Here is a 19633-nt window from a genome sequence, read left to right as displayed (position 1 = left end):
AGAAACATAAATATTGATAAGGCATTTGGACAGCAATAAAGAATTCTAGTTAACTTTTCCAAAATAATAATGGCATTGTAGTTACTTTCTTCTTAGCTTTAAAAATACATGCTGAAATGTTTACAGGTGAATGATACACTATTTCAAGTTGTCATGAAAATAATTCAGAGGGTAGGCTGAAAGTAAAAGATAAAATGGATGAGATGTGACGGAAATATGGGAGAAAATTATACTATTCTCTCTACTCATGTATATTGTTTAGTATTTCCCATAATAAAGTTTAGTCATGTGTCACTTCATCAGATTACACTCTTAGAAATACGATGTTGGGCAATTCTGCTATCACGTGAATATCACAGAGTACACTTACACAGAACCAGATAGCATAGCCTGCTACACACCTAGGCCACTTGGCATAGCCTATTGTCTTAGGCTACAAACCTGTACAGCATGTTACTGTACTGAAAACTGTAGGCAACTGTAACATAATTGTAAGCATTTGTGTATCTAAACATATCAAAAGATAGAAAGGGTATAGCAAAAACATGGCATCATAATCTCATGGGACTACCATCATATATATGTGGTTTGTCATTGACTGCAGTGTCATTTATTTGGCACGTAACTATATTTTTATTATTTTATTTTTTGAGACAGCATCTCACTCTGTCTCCCAGGCTGGAGTACAGTGGCACAATCTCAGCTCATTGCAACCTCTGCCTCCCAGGTTCAAGTGATTCTCGTGCCTCAGCTTCCTGAGTAGCTGGGACTACAGGTATGTGCACCACCACATGCGACTAATTTTTGTATTTTTATTAACAGTAGAGATGGGTTTTCACCACGTTGGCCAGTCTGGTCTCAAACCCCTGGCCTCAAGTGATCTGCCCGCCTCAGCCTCCCAAAGTGCTAGGAGTGAGCCACCACGCCTGGCCACATATTTTTATATGTAAGGTAAATTTGTTCTAGTAACATGTCCAGATGATATTCTGAAAATTTCTCTCTTGTTCCCCCTCCTACATCCCCAAATTAGGATTTTGATATTGCATCCTTATATTGTTTCTATTTTTTAAAATATCTTTCATTTATTAAAATTTGTTTATATCCTTCAAAAATGTTTTATAATTTTCTCTAGATAGGACCACTATATTTCTTGATAAAAGTTAATTCTAGATATTTTATGATTTGGGTTTGCTATTGTGAATATGATTTTTTAATTTTATATATTATGAATGGCTATCATAGATATGTTAAAAGATTTTACATATATATAAAATACATATAGATTCTATTTATTAGTTCTAATAATTATTCATCTGAATCTTTTCCTCCCACATAGAAAATGGTATTTTAACCATATTTATTTATAATAAATGGCACAAATTTTAAATGTACAATATGATGAGTTTAGACAAGTATATATAATCATGTACCACCAGGACGACAACAAAATATTTCCTCACGCCTCTTTATAGTCTATCTCTACCTGGCCCCTAGCAACCACTAAACTTTCACTGTTTTTGAAATTCATCCATGTTGTATCAGTAACCTGTTCCTTTTAAATTACATTTTATGGATATATCACAATTTGTTTATCCATTTATCTATTGATAGACATTTAGGCTGGTTCCCAGTTTAGGCTAATAAGCATAAAGCTCTCATAAATATTTACACTGAATTCGTTGTATGGGTATATGCTTTCATTTATATTGGGTAAATACCTGTAAGTGTGATTGCTAGATAGTATGTTAAATATGTTTAACTTTGTAAGAAATCGCTAACCCGCTTTCCAAAAGGGTTGTACCATTTTGCATTCCCATAGCAATGTATGAGACTTCCATTTGCTAATGGCTTCCCATTAAGCACTGCTGTAGCTATACCCAATAAATGTTTATACAGTGTATTTTCCCTTTTATTTAGTTCAAAATATTTTTAAATGTTCCTCATGAGCTCTCTTCTTTGGCCAATGAATTATTGAGAAGTATGCTAATAATTTCCAAGTATTTGACAATTTTTCCAGATATATTTCTGTTTATGATGTCTAATTTAATTCCACTGTAGTTATACTCTATGCATTTGAGTCCCCTTAAATGTACTGAGACTTCTTTTCATATTCTAGAGTAAGGATTACTTTTGTGATGTTCCGTGTGCACTTCTGCTGTTTTTAAATGGTGTGTTCTATTTTATAAATGTTAATTGGATCAAGTTGGTCTGTTATTGTTTACATCTTCGACAGCATTGCTGATTATCTGACTACACATTCTATCATGTCCAACTATAATTAGAGATTTGTCCTTCACCTTGCAGTTGTATTGGTCTTTATTCCAGGTATTTGAAGCTCTGTTAGCATGTGCATACATCTTTAAGATTCTTATGTCCTTTGATGAACTGATCTATTTATGATTATAAAATCTCTAGTAATAGTCCTTGTTCTGAAGTTTAGTTTGTCTGATATTAATATGACAACTGCAACATTCTTCGGATTTGTATTTTCATGATATATCTTCTTGAATATTTTAATTAACCTATCTAGGCCTTTATATTTAAAGTAGGTCTGTTGCAGCTATCATGAAATTGGGTCTTGTTTTAACCATTCTGATAATCTTTGCCTTTTAATTGGAGCATTTAGGCCATTTATTAATACATTTAGTATATTAGCTTTCTTATTGTCATATTTTCTTCCTCTATTCTTGCCTTCTTTTGGGTTAACTAAATTTTTTCTAATGGTTCCATTTTATCTCCTTTATTGGCTTAAAAGTGTTACCTTTTTTTTTTTTTTCTTTTTGAGACGGAGTCTCGCTCTGTCGCCCAGGCTGGGGTGCAGTGGCACGATGTTGGCTCACTGCAAGCTCCGCCTCCCGGGTTCACGCCATTCTCCTGGCTCAGCCTCCCGAGTAGCTGGGACTACAGGCGCCCGCCACCACGCCCGGCTACTTTTTTGTATTTTTAGTAGAGATGGCGTTTCACTGTGTTAGCCAGGATGGTCTCAATCTCCTGACCTTGTGATCTGCCCACCTTGACCTCCCAAAGTGCTGGAATTACAGGCGTGAGCCACCGCGCCCGGCCATTTTTTTTTTTTTTTTTAAAGTGGATACTCTAGGGCAGGAATCAGCAAATGACAGCTCATCTTGTGGCCTGATTTTTGTTTTTGTTTTATGGCCCACAAGTTAATAAAGGTTTGTAAATGTTTAACTATTATCCAAGAAAAGTAGAAAAAAAGAGCAAAAATCTGCACCAGAGACTGCACATGGCCTGCTATATGAGTTTTCTGATGCTGCAGGACAAATTACCACAGACTTAGCAGCTTAAAATTAATTACAATTATTTAATAGCTCACTAGGTTCTCTGGGCTCTCTGGTCAAATTATCACAAAGCTGAAATCAGGGTGTTAGCCAGGCTGAGTTGTCATCTGGGGCTTTGCAGAAAAATCCACTCCAAACTTCATTCTCACTTTTGGCAGCATTCAGTTCCTTGTGGCTCTAGGACTGAGACTTGTATTCCTTGCTGGCTATCAGTCAAGGTTGCTCTCAGTTTCTTCCCATGTTGGCCTCTCCCTCTGTAATCCAGCAATGGTACATTTAAACCCTCTTATGCTTTGACATCTAATGTCCTCCCCTACAACCAGCCAGAGAAATTCTGTCTTTAAAGGGCTTGTGTGTTACCTCCAGTTCCCCAGGATAATTTCTCTACCACCCAGAATAATTTCTCTATCTTAAAGTTAACTCTGCCATATTAAATAATGAATCATATTCAGCCTGGAAATTATGAAAGGCATGCATACTAGGAAAGGTGGGGGAGGGGAAAACCTTGGAGGATTGGAAAATATTTTAGAATTCTGCTTACTATACCTGCAACATCTAAAATATTTACTATTTGGATCTTTATAGAAAAAGTTTGCTCTAATGTATAAAATGTGCAGTCTACTTCCAATAAAAGTCACTACTTTATGAATAGTCAAAGTGCCTTATGACAGCATCCTTCCGTTCTCCCCCATTCTGTGATGTCTTATATTTTGCTTTTAAATATTTTATAAACCTCACAACCTATTTTATTATCTTTGTTTAAATAGGCATTTTTATTTAAAGAGACTTCAAATTATTTAAAAAGTCTTGTATTTGAATATGTATCATCTCTAACATTTTTCATTATTTTATTTAGATCCAAATTTCCAGGTGGTATCATTTTCCCTCTGCTTGAAGACATTACCTTTAACATCTAATATGTTACAGCTCTGCAGGCACTCAGTTCTCTTGTTTGTCTGAAAAATTATTTTATTCTTTATTTTTGTGGTAAAATATAAATGTTAAGACTTACCATTTAAGTATACAATCATGTGGTATTAAGTGCAACCATTATCACTGGTCATTTCCTGAAATTTTTCATTGTTCTAAACTGAAACTCTGTCCCTATTAAACAGTAACTCCTTTCTCTTCTTCCTCAGCCCCTGGTAACCACTGTTCTATTTTCTGTGTCTATGAAATTGCTTATTCTAGGTACCTTACATAAGATGAATCATATTTGTTCTTTTGTGTCTGGCTTATTTCACTTAACATAATGTTTTCAAGGTTCATCCATGTTGTAGTATGTACCAGAATTTCATTATGTTTTAAAGCTTAATAATATTGCATTATATGTATATGCCATATTTTGTTGACATTTACCTGTGATGGACACATAGGTTGTAGGTATGTAATAGTTAATTTTATGTGTCAATTTGGAGGATATTTTTGGATAAGATTAATTTTTAAACTGGTGAACTCTGAGTATACAGATTGCCCTCCATAATGTGAATATACCTCATCCAATCAGTTGAAGCCCTGATCAGAATAAAAAAACTGACCTCTCTAACCTAGTAGGAATTCAACAGACTGCCTTTGGACTTCATCTGCACTGCCAGCTTTCCTGGGTCTCCGCCTGCCAGCCTTCAGACTTCATCTGCACCATCAGCTTTCCTGGGTCTCCAGGCTGCTGGTCTTTGGACTGGAACTGTACTGGCTCTCCTGTGCCTCCAGTTTGTCAGCCCATGCCGCAAATCTGGACTCGCCAGTTTCCATAATTGTGTCAGCCAATTCTTTATAACAAATATCTTCCTAGATTAGAAGATATGTATCAAAATCTATATAGATATATATCAAAAAGTTAAATTTAGAATTACCTTGTGATCGAACAATTCCACTTCTGGATATATACCCCAAAGAACCGAAAGCAGAGACTCAAACAGATACTTATATACCAATGTCCAACCTGTGTTAGTCAGTTGTTTTTTTTTTTTAAGTAATAGCTTTCCTAATAGGTGTGAAGTGATATCTCCTTGTAATTTTGATTTGCATTTCCCTAATGACTAGTGATGTTTATCATCTTTTCATATGCTTATTGGCCATTTGTATATCTTTGCAGAAATGTCTATTGAAGTCTCTTGCCCATTTTTATACTGGCTGTTTTGCCTTCAATTTAAAAGATATTTTCACTACGTATAGAAATCTAGGTTGACAGTTTTTCTTTTAGTATTGGTACTCTTAAAATACCACTCCACTATCTTATAGTTTGTATTATTTCTGATGAGGAGTCTGTTGTAATTCTTATCTTTATTCCACTGTACATAATGACTTTTTCTATGGCTACTTTTAAGATTTTCTCTTTACCATTGATTTCTGGCAATATGATTATGATGTGCTTTGGTATGATCTTTTTTTTTCATTCTGCCTTGGGTTTGTTGAATTTCCTATATTGATGGATTAATAATTTCAGTTTCTGCAAATAATTGTTGTGATTTCCTCCCCTGCTGTTTCTAGGGAACTTTAATTACACATGTCTAACTATCTGATATTGAACCACAGGACACTGACATGCTGATAAATTTTTACCAGACTTTGTTTTCTCTGTGTAATTCATTTTCGGTAGTTTCTATTCCTATGTCTTTAACTTCACTGATCTTTTATTTGGTAATGTATAATCAGCTGTTACTCCCATATAGTTATTTTATTTCTGATATTGTATTTTTAATCTGTAGAAGTTCCATTTTGTTTTTTTTAATATATTTTTTCTCCCCATTTTCACATTTTCCTTTACATTCTTGAGCATATGTATAACATGTTTTAACATGTTTGTCTGCTAATTAAATTGTACCTGTCATTTCTTCTTTTTGTTGTGGATCATATTTCCTTGCTTCTTTGCATACCTGATCATTCTTAACAGCTTTATTGATGTATAACTAGCATATAATAAAGTGAATATGTTTAAACTACATACATAAGTGTTGACACATGTATATACACATGTAACTGTCAATACACTTTTAGAATATACCCAACACTCCCAAAGGTTTCCTGATGCCCTCTTGGTAAGCCCTCTTTTGCCCCTCCACACTACTCTCATCCCCAATACACATGAAAAATTCTGACTAGATACTGGCCATTGTGAATTTTACATTCTTGGTGCTGGATTTTACTGTATTATCTTAAAGGATCCTGGACTTTGTTCTAGCACACAAATAAATTATTTTAAATCAATTTGATCCTTTCAATGTTTGCTTTCAATTTTTGTTAGAAGAAGTCCAATGCAGCACTAGCCTCAGACTAATTTGGTCCCACTACTATGGCATTACCCTTCTGATGTTTCTGTTCAAGGTTCTATGTCTCTATGCTGGCTGATGGAAACACAAACTATTCCCAGCCCTATGTGAGCTCTGAGAACTGCCCTATCACTTTCTTTCTCCAGCCTCATGGTATTGTGTACCATGGCTACTCAATCAGTATTCAGTCAAAGATTTGAGGAGACCCTACTAGAAATCTCTAGACTGGCACTTGCCTGCTCTTGCTCTCTTCTATCTCTGTAGCTCCCTTCTCTCTGGTATTTCCTATATATTCTAGCCACTTCTCCGCCAATGAACTTTTCTCTTCTGTCTCATCAACTCATGCACACCACTAGACTATGTTTGGGTCCTTCTCCTCATACTGCAAACAGTGCAATCCCAGGGCTCACTTCATCTGTTTCCTTTCAGTTAAGAATTACAGTCTTCTACTGTTACCTGAAGTCTGAAAACAGCTGTTTCCTAGATTTTTGTCCAGTTCTCTAATCACCTGCTGTTAGAGGGCAATTCTTGTGGTAGTTAATCTTTCATGGACAGAAACAGAAGTAAGCTGGATCTTTTAAAATATATCCACATGATTTTGACAGCCTGAATTTTAGGCAAAATGTCTTCTTGTTGAGCCTATTTCACCAATATCACCTTCTCTCTAAAGACACATCTAAAATTGTCATCCAGCTGACGACTCTTGAATCACACAATTTTATTCCCTTACATCTTGAAGGAGCTAAAATTCTGATGCCTTCATTAAGTAGAAGCTGAGAGTATTATGTCTACCACCCTCAGCTCTAGAAATAAATGTGCACCCGAGGCTGCTGAAGATTGCAAAACGTATGTACAATAAATAGCTATTTCATACTTTCACTGTCATGGCATCAGGAGGTTGTTTCAAAATTCAGTGTGAACATGTTAGGTCAATGTATTTATTGCGTACATGTCAAAGAAAAGTACCAAAATATAAGGAAGTGTTGGTTTGAATGTATTCATTATATCTTTATCTCATAACATTCCACAAAGCTTAGACCCTATGACCTTCAAAATATGAGCAAATGAGCTTTGTAGGCTTTATAGAATCATTTAAAATAGATCATTTATGAGTGATATTTTCCTGTCAATCCTGTTTGCTCAGATTATATATTCTCTAACAGGAAAAATTAATTGCTTTTAATATTGTAAAATGCCACAAGCATTATGGATATAAGGGCATTTAAGAATTAGGATGTATATAGATTGACATGGTAGCTTAGCTAGGTGAAGAGAAACTAAATATCTCCTCCTCAACAACACAGTGCCAGTGAATGATTTCTTTTTTAAAATACATATTTAGCCTGCAGTTTCATACCCTTCAAAGCTAGAAAAGGAGGCCAAACTCATAGAGAGTGAGAGAAATAAAACATTATAAAATCAATAAATGTGATTAAGTATTAAAGTTCACTCTACTCAAATTCTGGTATGCTTTTGAAAGAAGACACTACTGTGCTATACATTTTAATTATTTCAAGTTACTAGCATGTCATATTAGATAACACTAGTTCCTGTATTAAAGAGAATCTCTCATTTTCTTTCTGTCTTGCTTTTTTTTTTCTTGCGAATGTAAGTCAAGTCATCTCATTCCTAATTTCACTCAAAATTCACTAAGACTGTTGCACTATTTTCTAACCCAACACTAACTATAATAGTCCTCCCTTATCCACAGTTTCATTTTCTGCAGTTTAGGTTGCCTGCAGTCAACTGCGGTCCAAAAATAGATGACTATGATACAATAAGATATTTTGAGAGAGAGAGAGAGACCACATCCACATAACTTTTATTAAAGTATAATGCGATGACTGTTCAATTTATTATTAGTCATTGTCGTAATCCCTTACTATGTCTAATTTATAAGTTAAACTTTATCACAGGTATGGCTGTATAGGAGAAAACAGTATACAATGGGTTCAGTACTATCTGGGGCTTCAGGCATCCACTGGGGGGCCTGGACCATATGCCCTATGAATAAAGGGGAGCTACTGTACAATACAAATTCATTTCCAAATATCCTAAGAATAACCTTATCTACAGTTTGGTGTTACAAGTTAGCATCATTCTCTTTCAACACCCTAAAAGAAAGCAAAGTCACAGCTGAAAGAACTTGAAATGTAAGCTAAATTGTAAACACAGTATGAGAATAAGGATATCTCTCATGTCTAGTCAAGAGAGAATATTTGCGGCAATTTACATTCTCCAAAGGCATATTTCTTTTTTTTTTTTGAGACGGAGTTTCGCTCTTGTTGCCCAGGCTGGTGCAATCTCGGCTCACCGCAACCTCCACCTCCCACGTTCAAGAGATTCTCCTGCCTCAGCCTCCCTAGTAGCTGGGATTACGGGCATGTGCCACCACACCTGGCTAATTTTGTATTTTTAGTAGAGACGGGGTTTCTCCATGTTGGTCAGGCTGGTCTCGAACTCCCGACCTCAGGTGATCCGCCCACCTCGACCTCCCAAAGTGCTGGGATTACAGGCATGAGCCACCGTGCCTGGCCAGCATATTTCTTTTTATTTGAAGAATACTGATATGATTTTTGCTGTGTGAGATAATTAGCTAAAGTGTCATATTTTGATGTGCACATTATTACTTTACTCACAGTTACAAACTGAACCTTAAATTTGACTGCCATTCTTTTAAATCTGTCTCCAAGATTACAAATAGCTAAGACTGTGGATGACTTTTCTAAGCTCATCACCACTGCTAAAACGAATTCAAAGTGAGTCTATATTAACAATGTGTGAGCAGTACATACTTGAGAACAAAAGATAGTATACTGTTATTAATAACAGTGCCCCCTAGCCAGCTATGTGTTTGGAATGCGGTGCAAATAGTTTAACCAAAGGGGTCTTTGTTCTTCACTCTCACAAAATTAAAAGTTGTATTAAAGCACATGCAATGGGTACTCAATACACTTCTCAAATACATTAGTATTTCTAAAGACTTTCTTTTACATTTCTAACACTCTATTTAGGCTTAACAATAGTAAAAATGTAATAAAAATTAGCCAAAAACTTTCTCCACAAAATTTTCACCAAATTTCACCTATTTATAAACTTCGGTATTGTGTTTTTTTTTTTTTAACGGCAATTGAATTTAAAGTTTAATTTGCATGAGACAGTTTATATTTTAACCCAAGGTGACTATGGTCTAAGATCTATTCTAAATAAATAATAAATTTTGCAGTAAAACGTTTATATTCTTCTTCCTTAAAAAATGGCTATTGAGATTTTCTCAAGCAATTAAACACCAGCTTTAAAAGTTAAGAGTATCTTAATAAAAAGCACTAATGCATTCATTTTACCATTTTGACAAATAAAAATAAGGTATCGGGAAGTACTGTTATCCCATTTGACCAAAGAGGAAACAAGCCCAATGATTATCAGTACCTATGTCCATAACATAACATGAAATATATTTTAGACAGGTGCTTCTAAATACATGATTCCCAAATACTTGACCTACTAGTACTAATTCAGTAAAACAACTGAGGTACACCTGCTAATATTGTTGCAACAAAACATTAAAGCATAAAACTAGCGTTTGGCTTTGCTTTAAAAATTGTTATTGTGACCAAAAATGCAGGCAAGTCTTCCAAAACACCAAAGTGATGAGTTAATTTATTCAAGAGTTACTACTCCTACGGCATTAATTCGTGAAAGGGATTTTTAACAGAGTACGCAAACCAAGAAGGGCCAGATTATCAAAATCTAACAGACTCTGCCAAGTTACCCATCCACTTCTGAATGGCTGGGCCATTCCTAAAGTGCTACCTGGTCAAAACGGACACAGATACCAAACAGCGCACCATCTGTGCCCAAGTGTTCAAACACAGCTCAAAACATCACAACAGCAACACAGTCTGTGAGGACCAATCTGCTATGGCAGCATTTCTAAAAAGGCATTCACAGTGCCAGGAAGTATTAAACAAGCACCTAGGCACTAATGAAAGGGATGAAGCCAGTGTCATTTCTGATCTTTTATTATAGTTATGTATGAATATCTTGTCTTCTTTTTGTGAGGGAAGCACCTTCTTGAAGAGGGCGTCTCTCTCCGACTCATCTTTGTGGTCACAAGGTGATAAATATTATATATATTATACGTTATAATATAATATAGGCCTCTGATATTAAGAGCGAACTAAACCTGGCATAGAAGAAGCTTAATCTAAGAGATTCCGCTACATTAGAAGACAATTCTGGGGAATGTGACCACTTGGGATTTCCTGTGCTACCCCTGATTGGGATGAGGCTCCATTTCCTTCTAAATGGTTAGTTTTATGAGATATCCTAATATATTTTTGTTTCTAAATCTCTCCCTCAGTTTGCATATTTCTTAGCGGATCTAAGTATACAGATTAACAGCTTATTGTGGTTATTCCATTTACAGTGTGTCTTGCAAGGATAAGAACTATGAAAAGGGTGAAAATTTCAGAGGGAAGTAATAATAACTTGCTGAGAAGTGCACAGCTCGAGTATTGGAGTTTATTGAGAGTAAGTTTTGACAAAAATGTCTTCATTTCCTTTTTTGTAAGATAAGGTATCTAGCCTAGTAGATCACAGAAACAAACATATAGACACGGTACAGAGATACAGTACCAAGGCATTTGACAAACCATTGCAAGAACAGAGAATTATGGATGGACTGACAAAGTAAAGGGTCCAGGACACCCTGGAGTGGTATTTATTGTACAGTGACATAGAATGATGACTTCATAAATAAAGAAATCCAAACTAAAGAGGTTTGCTTCCAGTAAGTGTAGACAAACCTTTTTCATACTCTTTTTCTAAAAAGAAATAGAAAAATTATGAGAAAACAAACACATACATCTATTTGAGGACATTCGAGGACTAAGGCAGCAAGAACTTGTGTTAAAGATCCAAAAGAGGCCGGGCGCCGTGGCTTACACCTGTAATCCCAGCACTTTGGGAGGCTGAGGTGGGCAGATTATGAGGTCAGGTGTTCGAAACCAGCCTGGCCAACATGGCGAAACCCCATCTCTACCAAAAATACAAAAAATTAGCCGGGCGTGGTGGCAGGTGCCTGTAGTCCCAGCTACTCCAAAAGCTGAGGCAGAAGAATCCCCTGAACCCAGGAAGCGGAGCTTGCAGTGAGCTGAGATAGCGCCACTGTACTCCAGCCTGGGAAACAGAGCAAGACTCCGCCAAAAAAAAAAAAAATCCAAAAGATAAGGGAAGCTCAGTGTCATAATCCAAACATCGCACTGTTTCTGCTTTTGAGGTATTTGCCCACACAACAGAGAAAGTGAAAGGCTGGGAGCATGCAGTGACTGAGCACCTGAGACACAGAGAAGGGCTGGCAGCTGCACAGAGCTAAGGCATAGGGAAGAGACGTGAAGTTCAGCATCTATCGAACGGAAGGGGCCCTGGTAAAACACCTCAAGAGTTCAACTGGGATTTTGAAGAGCTTTGCCCTAAAAGAAAAGGGAAACTGGAAATTGACCCGCCCTTAGAGAAGGACTGAAGCCCAGGCTACAGTCAGCTCAAATCATGATTATATTAAAATTACCTGACCCTGGCCTGACTACCTAAAACAAACAAAACTAAATCCTCTCTAGGATGACAAAGTGTTCAAAAATTACACATTAATGTGCAGAATTTGGGCAAGTAACTAGAAACAATTGAAAAATAATCAAATAGAAATTCTGAGATTAAAACTTTTTTTAATTTTAATAGAGATTATGTCTCGTTATGATGCCCAGGCTGGTCTTGAACATCTGGCATCAAGCGATCCTCCCACCTTGGCCTCCTAAAGTGCTGGGATTACAGGTGTAAGCCACTGCACCCAGGTTCAAATATAAGTTTTTGAACTGAAAAATACAATGTATTTAAGTTGATGTCAATAATAAAAGAAAATCTCCAATTGTTTGAAAATTAAGCAATGCACTCATATGAGAAATCATAAAGGAAGTTAGAAAATACTTTGATCTGAATAACAATGGAAATATAAAATTCAAAACTTGTGAGATGTAGGCAAAAGCCTGTGCATAAAGTAACTTAGAGACTTAGTGCAGACATAAGCAAGTAAGAAGGGCTGAAACTGGCAGTATCCACTGAGATATGTACAGTCAGGTGCCACATGTCCACATTTCCCTGCATATAAGACGGTATGTCTCGCACTGCCTTTTCTACCATTGGATAAGTTTAGACACAAATACCACTGTGTGTTATAATTCTAGGTACTGAATGTACTTACAATATGTACTTCCAGTACTCAGTACAGTATCATACGGTACAGGTTTGTAGCCTGGAAGCAATAGGCTATCCCATATAGCTGAGGTGTGTAGTAGCCCTATGATACGGGCTTGCATTAGTATACTCTGTGATGTTCACAGGACAAGGGAATTGCCTAACAATACACTTCTCAGAATGTATACCCGTTGTTAAGTGAGCCATGGTTGTATTTTTTTAAATAAATTGTATTGTGTATATTTGAGGCTTACAACATGATGTTATGGCATACATGGAGATAGTAAAATGATTACTATAGTGAATCAAATTAACATATCCATCAGCTCACACAGTTACCATTTTTTGTCACAAAATCTACTTATTTAACTTATTTAACAAGAATCCTAATACAATACAATGTTATTCCCTATAGTCCTCATGTTGTACATTCCATCTCTAGACTTGTTCATCCCACATATCTGCACCTTTTATCCTTTGAACCACACCTCACCATTTCATCTCCCCTCACCTCCGCCCCACCCCCGAGGTCCACGGTAACCACTGTTTTATTCTCTATCTCAGTATATTTGATCTCCTTTTAAGGGTCAACATATAAGTGTTCCACATATAATGCATAATAGATATGTACATTAAGGCATAATTTTTAATAATCAGAAATTGAAATAAACTTTAATGTACATCAATATTACGAGATAAAGAATTTATGGTATGTACACAAAAGTGGAACACTATACAGCAACAAAAATGAACGTGGATCTCGAAATGCTGTTGAGCAAGGCGAGCCATCAAATTAACACATACGGTATCCAGTCTTAGGAAGTTCAAAGCAGGTGAAAAATTAACCCTCAGTGCTCATGAGGCTAGTACCACCTTAATGGAGAGGTGAACTAATGAGGAGAAATCACGGTAATAACCTAGTTCATGACCAGGGGGTATTGGTTACATGAGTTTATTTACTTGGTGAACAGACTTCAATATTCTAAAAATCAAGGATAAACAAGTTCTGGCCTTAACATCAGTTTAGTTAAAAAGATTCAGGCCAAGATTCAGGAAACACCTCTCCATGAGGCATTATGAGCACCTAGTAAAGTCTGACTTAGACTTTTAAGTTGTGGGCATCTTGAAATATTGGGTTGTCTGACAAAACAGCAACTTGGCTTAACTCTGGAGGACAAAACTCAGCACAATGAGGGAAAGCAAGTTACAAGACTCAAATTTTGATTCAATATTCTAACTGCTAACAATAAAACTGCCCAATAGGCCAGGCGCAGTGACTCACACCTATAATCCCAGCACTTTGGGAGGCTAAGGCGGGCAGATAACTTGCAGTCAGGAGTTCAAGACCAATGTGACCAGCCTGGCCAACATGGTGAAACCCCATCTCTACTAAAAATACTAAAATTAGTTGTGCATAGTGGCACGCGCCTGTAATCCCAGCTACTCTGGAGGCTGAGGCGGGAGAATTGCTTGAACCCAGGAGGCGGAGATTGCAGTGCGCTAGCCTGGGTGACAGAGTGAGACTTCATCTCAAAAAAACAAACAAACAAACAAACAAAACACTACCCAATAGTGGAACACATTGTCTCAATAATAAAGACTATCCCACACTCTGAACTTGTTCACATCAAGGTAGAAGGACCACTCATCAGAGATAAGGGGAGGAGTTTTCTACACCAAATGGAGATGAGAACTGATCACTAAAGCCCCTTCCACAGCCTTCAGACTCTATGCATATGGGTCAACATAGAACCACAATTTAAAACTTCTTACCCTTAATCTTGTAGTGGAGATCTCAGCTTTTAAAATATCGGGATCATATTTAGTACTGGATGAAGATCCTGAGAATACTTTTATAGAGAAAAAAGAAAAACTAATTATTTACAAGTTGCATAACTAGTTCTCAGCTTAGAATTTACTGAAGCTAAAAACAAGATTTATGTGCTTCTGTGAATACTTGCTTTCTAATTCCTTTATTGCCATTGATCAGACACCTAAATATAAAAAGTTATCTTCAAACCTCTACCATTTTTTTTAACTCTGTAAAGAGAAATGTCATTAAGACCTTGGTGCTTAATTTTCTTCTGGATTTTATACACACTATGTCCTCAGAGGACTATACTGCAGCAGTATATCAGAGTTTTGCATTATCAAGGAATTTATAATTTAAGCAGAACTTCTGAGCTCATCACAGCTGCTTCTTTAAACAAAGCCAGCTCCAAATAGTCAATCTGTGAGATGAGGGAGCAGTAAATCAACTCAGATGGTCAACAGAAATTACACTCTAGGTAATAGTTCCAGTTCCTCCCCACTAAAAATATTGTACAAAAGTAGCAAAAAGGGCCAAACTACTTGCACTGTTCTGAAAAGGTAAAAATTAACTCGTAAATGCATAAAAGGCAACCTGGCAGAGGCAGGTGCAGAAACAGAAGGCATGCATAACCCCCAAACAGGGATTCTTTTATCTGAAGTAGGGGTGAGAAAATCTGGGGTGTGCCCTCACCTCTCAATGGTTTTGAGAGACTCTTCCTGCTTAGGAGGGAAAAGGACTCAAAATTAAACTCCATAGAAATGTAAGTGGTCTTCTGTTATCTACAATTCAGTCTCCACTTCCAAAGTCTGAATAGCCACACTGTACTTACAGCTTGTGTGAGAACTTGACTTTTCCTTATAGGCATCATTTAATCGCACGTATTCATCCAGGGCCAGCGCCAGCCTCTGCTCCTTCACATGGTACAGTTCCTTCTGTGTCCGGAGGGCATCCTGTGCCACAGAGAGGTAGTCCTTGAGCATCTTCTCCTGTTCCCCCCTCCATTGTTTTCTTGGATCTTCTATCTGCGTGGTTTCTGAAAACATTAGGTGGAGGGTACTTTTTAGAATTTAACTTTGTTTTCCGGCTTGTTTAAGCTTTAGGGAGTAGGCTAGCTTAAGTTCTTGTATCCTCTAAGGAGTTTATTTAGCTGTGCTGGAGTGACTTCTCCAGAAATTTTAGTTTTATTTTACCCAGTCTCATCAACTTCCTTCCTCTTCCAGGTTCTGATCAACAGTGTATTCTCACTATAAATCTACCACACACAATGTTGTCAATCAGATCATTCAAGAATTCTGTGGCTCCCCAGTGCCTACAGAATAAAAGCCAAGCTATTCATTCCAGCACTCAATGCCCTGCATAAGCTGGACCCAACCCACCTTCATTCACCTAATACAGGACTGTAGACACACTGCCCTCTGCATCAGCACTAATCAAAGTTGGTCTACTCTGCAGACCAACACCAGTCCATGAACTCAGTTTTATGTCCGCAACAGTAATGACAGAAATAGAAAACATTTTGTAATCATTATAGCGATTTTAGTCAGTTATTGTTTATCTGTTGATAAATACTATGCATTTCTTTGTGTGTATACATTTTCACTTTTCCAGTAATTCACTTTTTCTTGTATTTTACAAAAATATCAGTGAGTCCGCAGTGGATCTGAAATTTAAAAATAAACAAACAAACAGAACCCTGGTCCTGTTTATACAGAATGCTCTAGCCTAAGGCCCTGGTTCTTGCTTCTGCACTTCCACAAACTACAATCAACCAGAGACCCTTTTAAAAAAAAAAAACCCAGACCAACTAGAGTTTCTGTGGATGCAACCCAGGCACGGTAGATTTCAAAGCTGCTCAGGTGATTCCATTGAGCAGCCGAGCCCAAGAACCAGTGTTCTGCAACAGCATTCACATGCTGCCTCCTCCAGAAGGTGCCCCAGCCACCTCATCTGCAAGTCAGCCCTTTATCCTCTGTCTTCCATGGCAGCTTATGCTCAGTTTATAAACTCCAAACACATTCTTTACTGTGTGGTGAAGCTACAGTAGGGGCCACAAAACATGAAGAAAAACAAAAATGAAAGAATCAGATTACCCTAAACATTTTATGTTCTCACATTTTAAAATTAACATATTTTTTGACCACATGTTGGGCCAAGGAGTTGGAGTGTACTGCTGTCCAGCATTGGGATACCATGGTGTATACAAGAGAACGGACAGTTTTGGTGATGGTTAGTGCAGGCTGGTTAAGAGCTATCCCCCTGTGTCTGCAGACATGTACTGGACCCCTCTGCTGTGAAAGAAAGGAGAGTGGCCATTTGCCAGTAGAGGAAGGGGTTGAGAATGGGACAGAGTAAATAAAAGAGGTTTCCTGGATGCTGATGTTCTATTTCTTTCACCCATCGAAATTACACAGTTCACTTCTAAAATATTTGTTAAACTATGTTATTTCAGTCTATGCACTTTTCTGTGTGTAGTATTCAGTAATACATGTTTTAAAATAAAAGTGGAATAGTTCAAAGGCATAAAAACTATGGTATTGTGACTTAAGATCTCGTCTCTAGCAGGATATTGTATCCGAGTGGACCCCACTCCCAACAACAGCAAACACAAACAGGGGATAATTTGGGACAAAAAGAAGTATGGCTTTAATACAGAAAACACATGAAGCTTGATACACAAAAGGTTAATAGAGATTTTTAAAAAACAAAGCAAAACACAAAGAAGGCCATGGTGGAATAACAGGGCCACTGTAACTAGAAGATAAAATATATGAACAATGGTTTTCAGATGTTGGACAACAGGTAGTACAGGATTGTGATCTCTGAGAGAAGGGAAATGAACCCCACGATTACCCTACATTTCTGTCTGAAAGCACTTTTTGGACAGCAGTGCAAAGAGGGGTAACTCAAGCAGAGAAAGGAGGCACTGCTGAATTGCAGGGAGAGGGAAGCAGATTTCACGGAAGCCATGACAGGTGGAATTTGTAAAGCAAAGCACAGTAGAAGCTCCAGAGACTGGAGAAGTTCCAGAAATTTGCACAGGGGTCACAAGAAGTCTGTGAGTGAATGCTGAGATGACAACGGGAAATGCACAAGGCCAGGCAAAGGACAACTGGGACGCTATAGGCAGATAAATTCCCCGAGCTCACACAGGGCTGTGACAGTTTCAAATTATGACCAGCCAGAGGAGAAAGGCCACAGTGAACATCTAGGGAATCCAGTGGAGACCACAGCAAAGTTACACCTTAACAACAGAGCTAAATAAGACATAGGGTAAAGGCTACTCTGAACCTAACCTAACAAAGCTTTGAAACAAGCTTCTAAAAGACCAAGCTGGTCAGCAAGTAACTTAACTGCCGGTCAGAAGAAAAAAAATATAAAACTCCCTAAAAGGCACAAAACCTAGCACTCAATGAAAACAACAACAACAAAACCAACTTTATAATGTCTAGCATCCACTATAATGTTACCAACATAAAAAGCACAAAAATATGGCCCATAATCTGGAGAAAAATCAGTCAATAGAAACAGATCTCGAAATGTAGAAAGGATGGAATAAGCATAATCTAGATAAAACAGCTATGTTGCAACAGAATAGAGTCCAAAAATAAACCTGCACATCTACTGACTATTGTGCAAATAGCCAGTAAGCAGATGAAAGGAGACTCAACATCACTAATTATCAGCGAAATACAAGTCAAAACTATAATGGGATACCATTGCTCACTATGTAAAATGGCTAGAATTTAAAAACTGGCAATGCCAAGTGTTGAAGAGGATGTGGTGCAATTGGAATTCTCATTCATTGCTACCGGGAATCTAAAATGGTCCAATCACTTTGGAGAACAACTTAGCAATTACCATACAACCTAGCAATCCTACAACTTGTTATTTACCCAAGAGATATGAAAATATGTATCTACAAAAAGACCTCTAAACAAATGCTCATTAGCAGCTTTATTCATAATAGACAAAACTATTACAGGTAATGGCTAAGCAAACTGTGGTATATCCATACAATAAAATACTACTCAGCAATAAAATGAAACAAAATACTCAACAGCAATATATAAGACTCTCAAACACATGTTGAGTGAAAAGATGCCAGACACAAAAGACCACATGCTGTATGATTCCATTTATATGAAATTCGGGCAAAAGTAAAGCCAATCCAATGACAGAAAGTGATTGCCTGGGCCCAGCAGTACTGAGAAGTACTTGTTACAACAGAGCAAGAAGAAAGCTCTTTTTGAGGGGATGGAAATGTTCCCTATCTTGATTATTGTGATAGTTACATGGTATACACCTGTCAAAACTCATGAATTGTATAGTGAAAATAGATGCAATTTATGTATTTGTATATAATAATAAAGCTGATTTACAGTTTATTATTAAAATATGCTTTACAAGGTTCAAATGAATGACTGATGATGACTGATAAAGAGAAATGAGGTATAATGGAACAGCAATAAAATCCTTTGCCACTACCAGCTGTTGAAAAGAGCACTGGTTAGGGAGTAAGGCCGTGTGGGTTCCATATCCACCTAGCCAGATGTGAGACTCTAAGTATTTTACCTCTCTTACTCTCATGTCTCTCGATTGTAAAAAGAGGCTGAAATATGGACGAATATTTTCTGATGCAGCCTTTGTAGCAGACACTGTTGGTGTCCTATCCTGGTATTCTCGGGTCTTTCTGCCACAGCCTGCTGTTTGTTGTTGATGGATGTCTGACTGCTCTAGAGCACTTCGCTAACTCACCTGCAGCCAATGACTGACAAGTGAAGAAGACAGAAAGAACTCCCAGGTAGGGCAAACTCTGAGGTAGAAATTGTACTTTAGAGCCACCACAATCATGTGGAGTCAGAGACTTTGCAGAAATAAAACCTTCAGCTGTTTTTTTCCCTCCACTTTCTTTCTTTCCTCATTTCCTTACTGGTTTATCCTGGGATTTCCTTCATAAACCACTTTCACTTAAATTCTTGGCTTAGGGTTTGCTTCTGAGAGAA

The 19633-nt window shown here is 37.2% G+C and overlaps 1 protein-coding gene across 5 annotated transcripts in view; it reads right to left on the bottom strand.

Annotated features, from left to right (window-relative positions):
• WWC2 (WW and C2 domain containing 2) overlaps positions 1–19633 on the bottom strand; it is a 221521-nt gene that overhangs the window by 97162 nt on the left and 104726 nt on the right. For all 5 annotated transcript variants that reach the window (NM_001410864.1, NM_024949.6, XM_024454225.2 and 2 more), the window contains 2 exons: positions 15460–15663; positions 14591–14667 (listed from right to left, as the gene is read on the bottom strand). In NM_001410864.1, coding sequence (NP_001397793.1) covers positions 14591–14667; positions 15460–15663 — 281 coding nt within the window. The remainder of the gene's footprint in view (positions 1–14590; positions 14668–15459; positions 15664–19633) is intronic.

Source organism: Homo sapiens, chromosome 4 (genome assembly GCF_000001405.40).
Source record: "Homo sapiens chromosome 4, GRCh38.p14 Primary Assembly".
Classification (NCBI taxonomy): domain Eukaryota; kingdom Metazoa; phylum Chordata; class Mammalia; order Primates; family Hominidae; genus Homo; species Homo sapiens.
The sequence above is the reverse complement of the archived record's forward strand: the minus strand, read 5'-3'. Positions and strand labels throughout refer to the sequence as shown.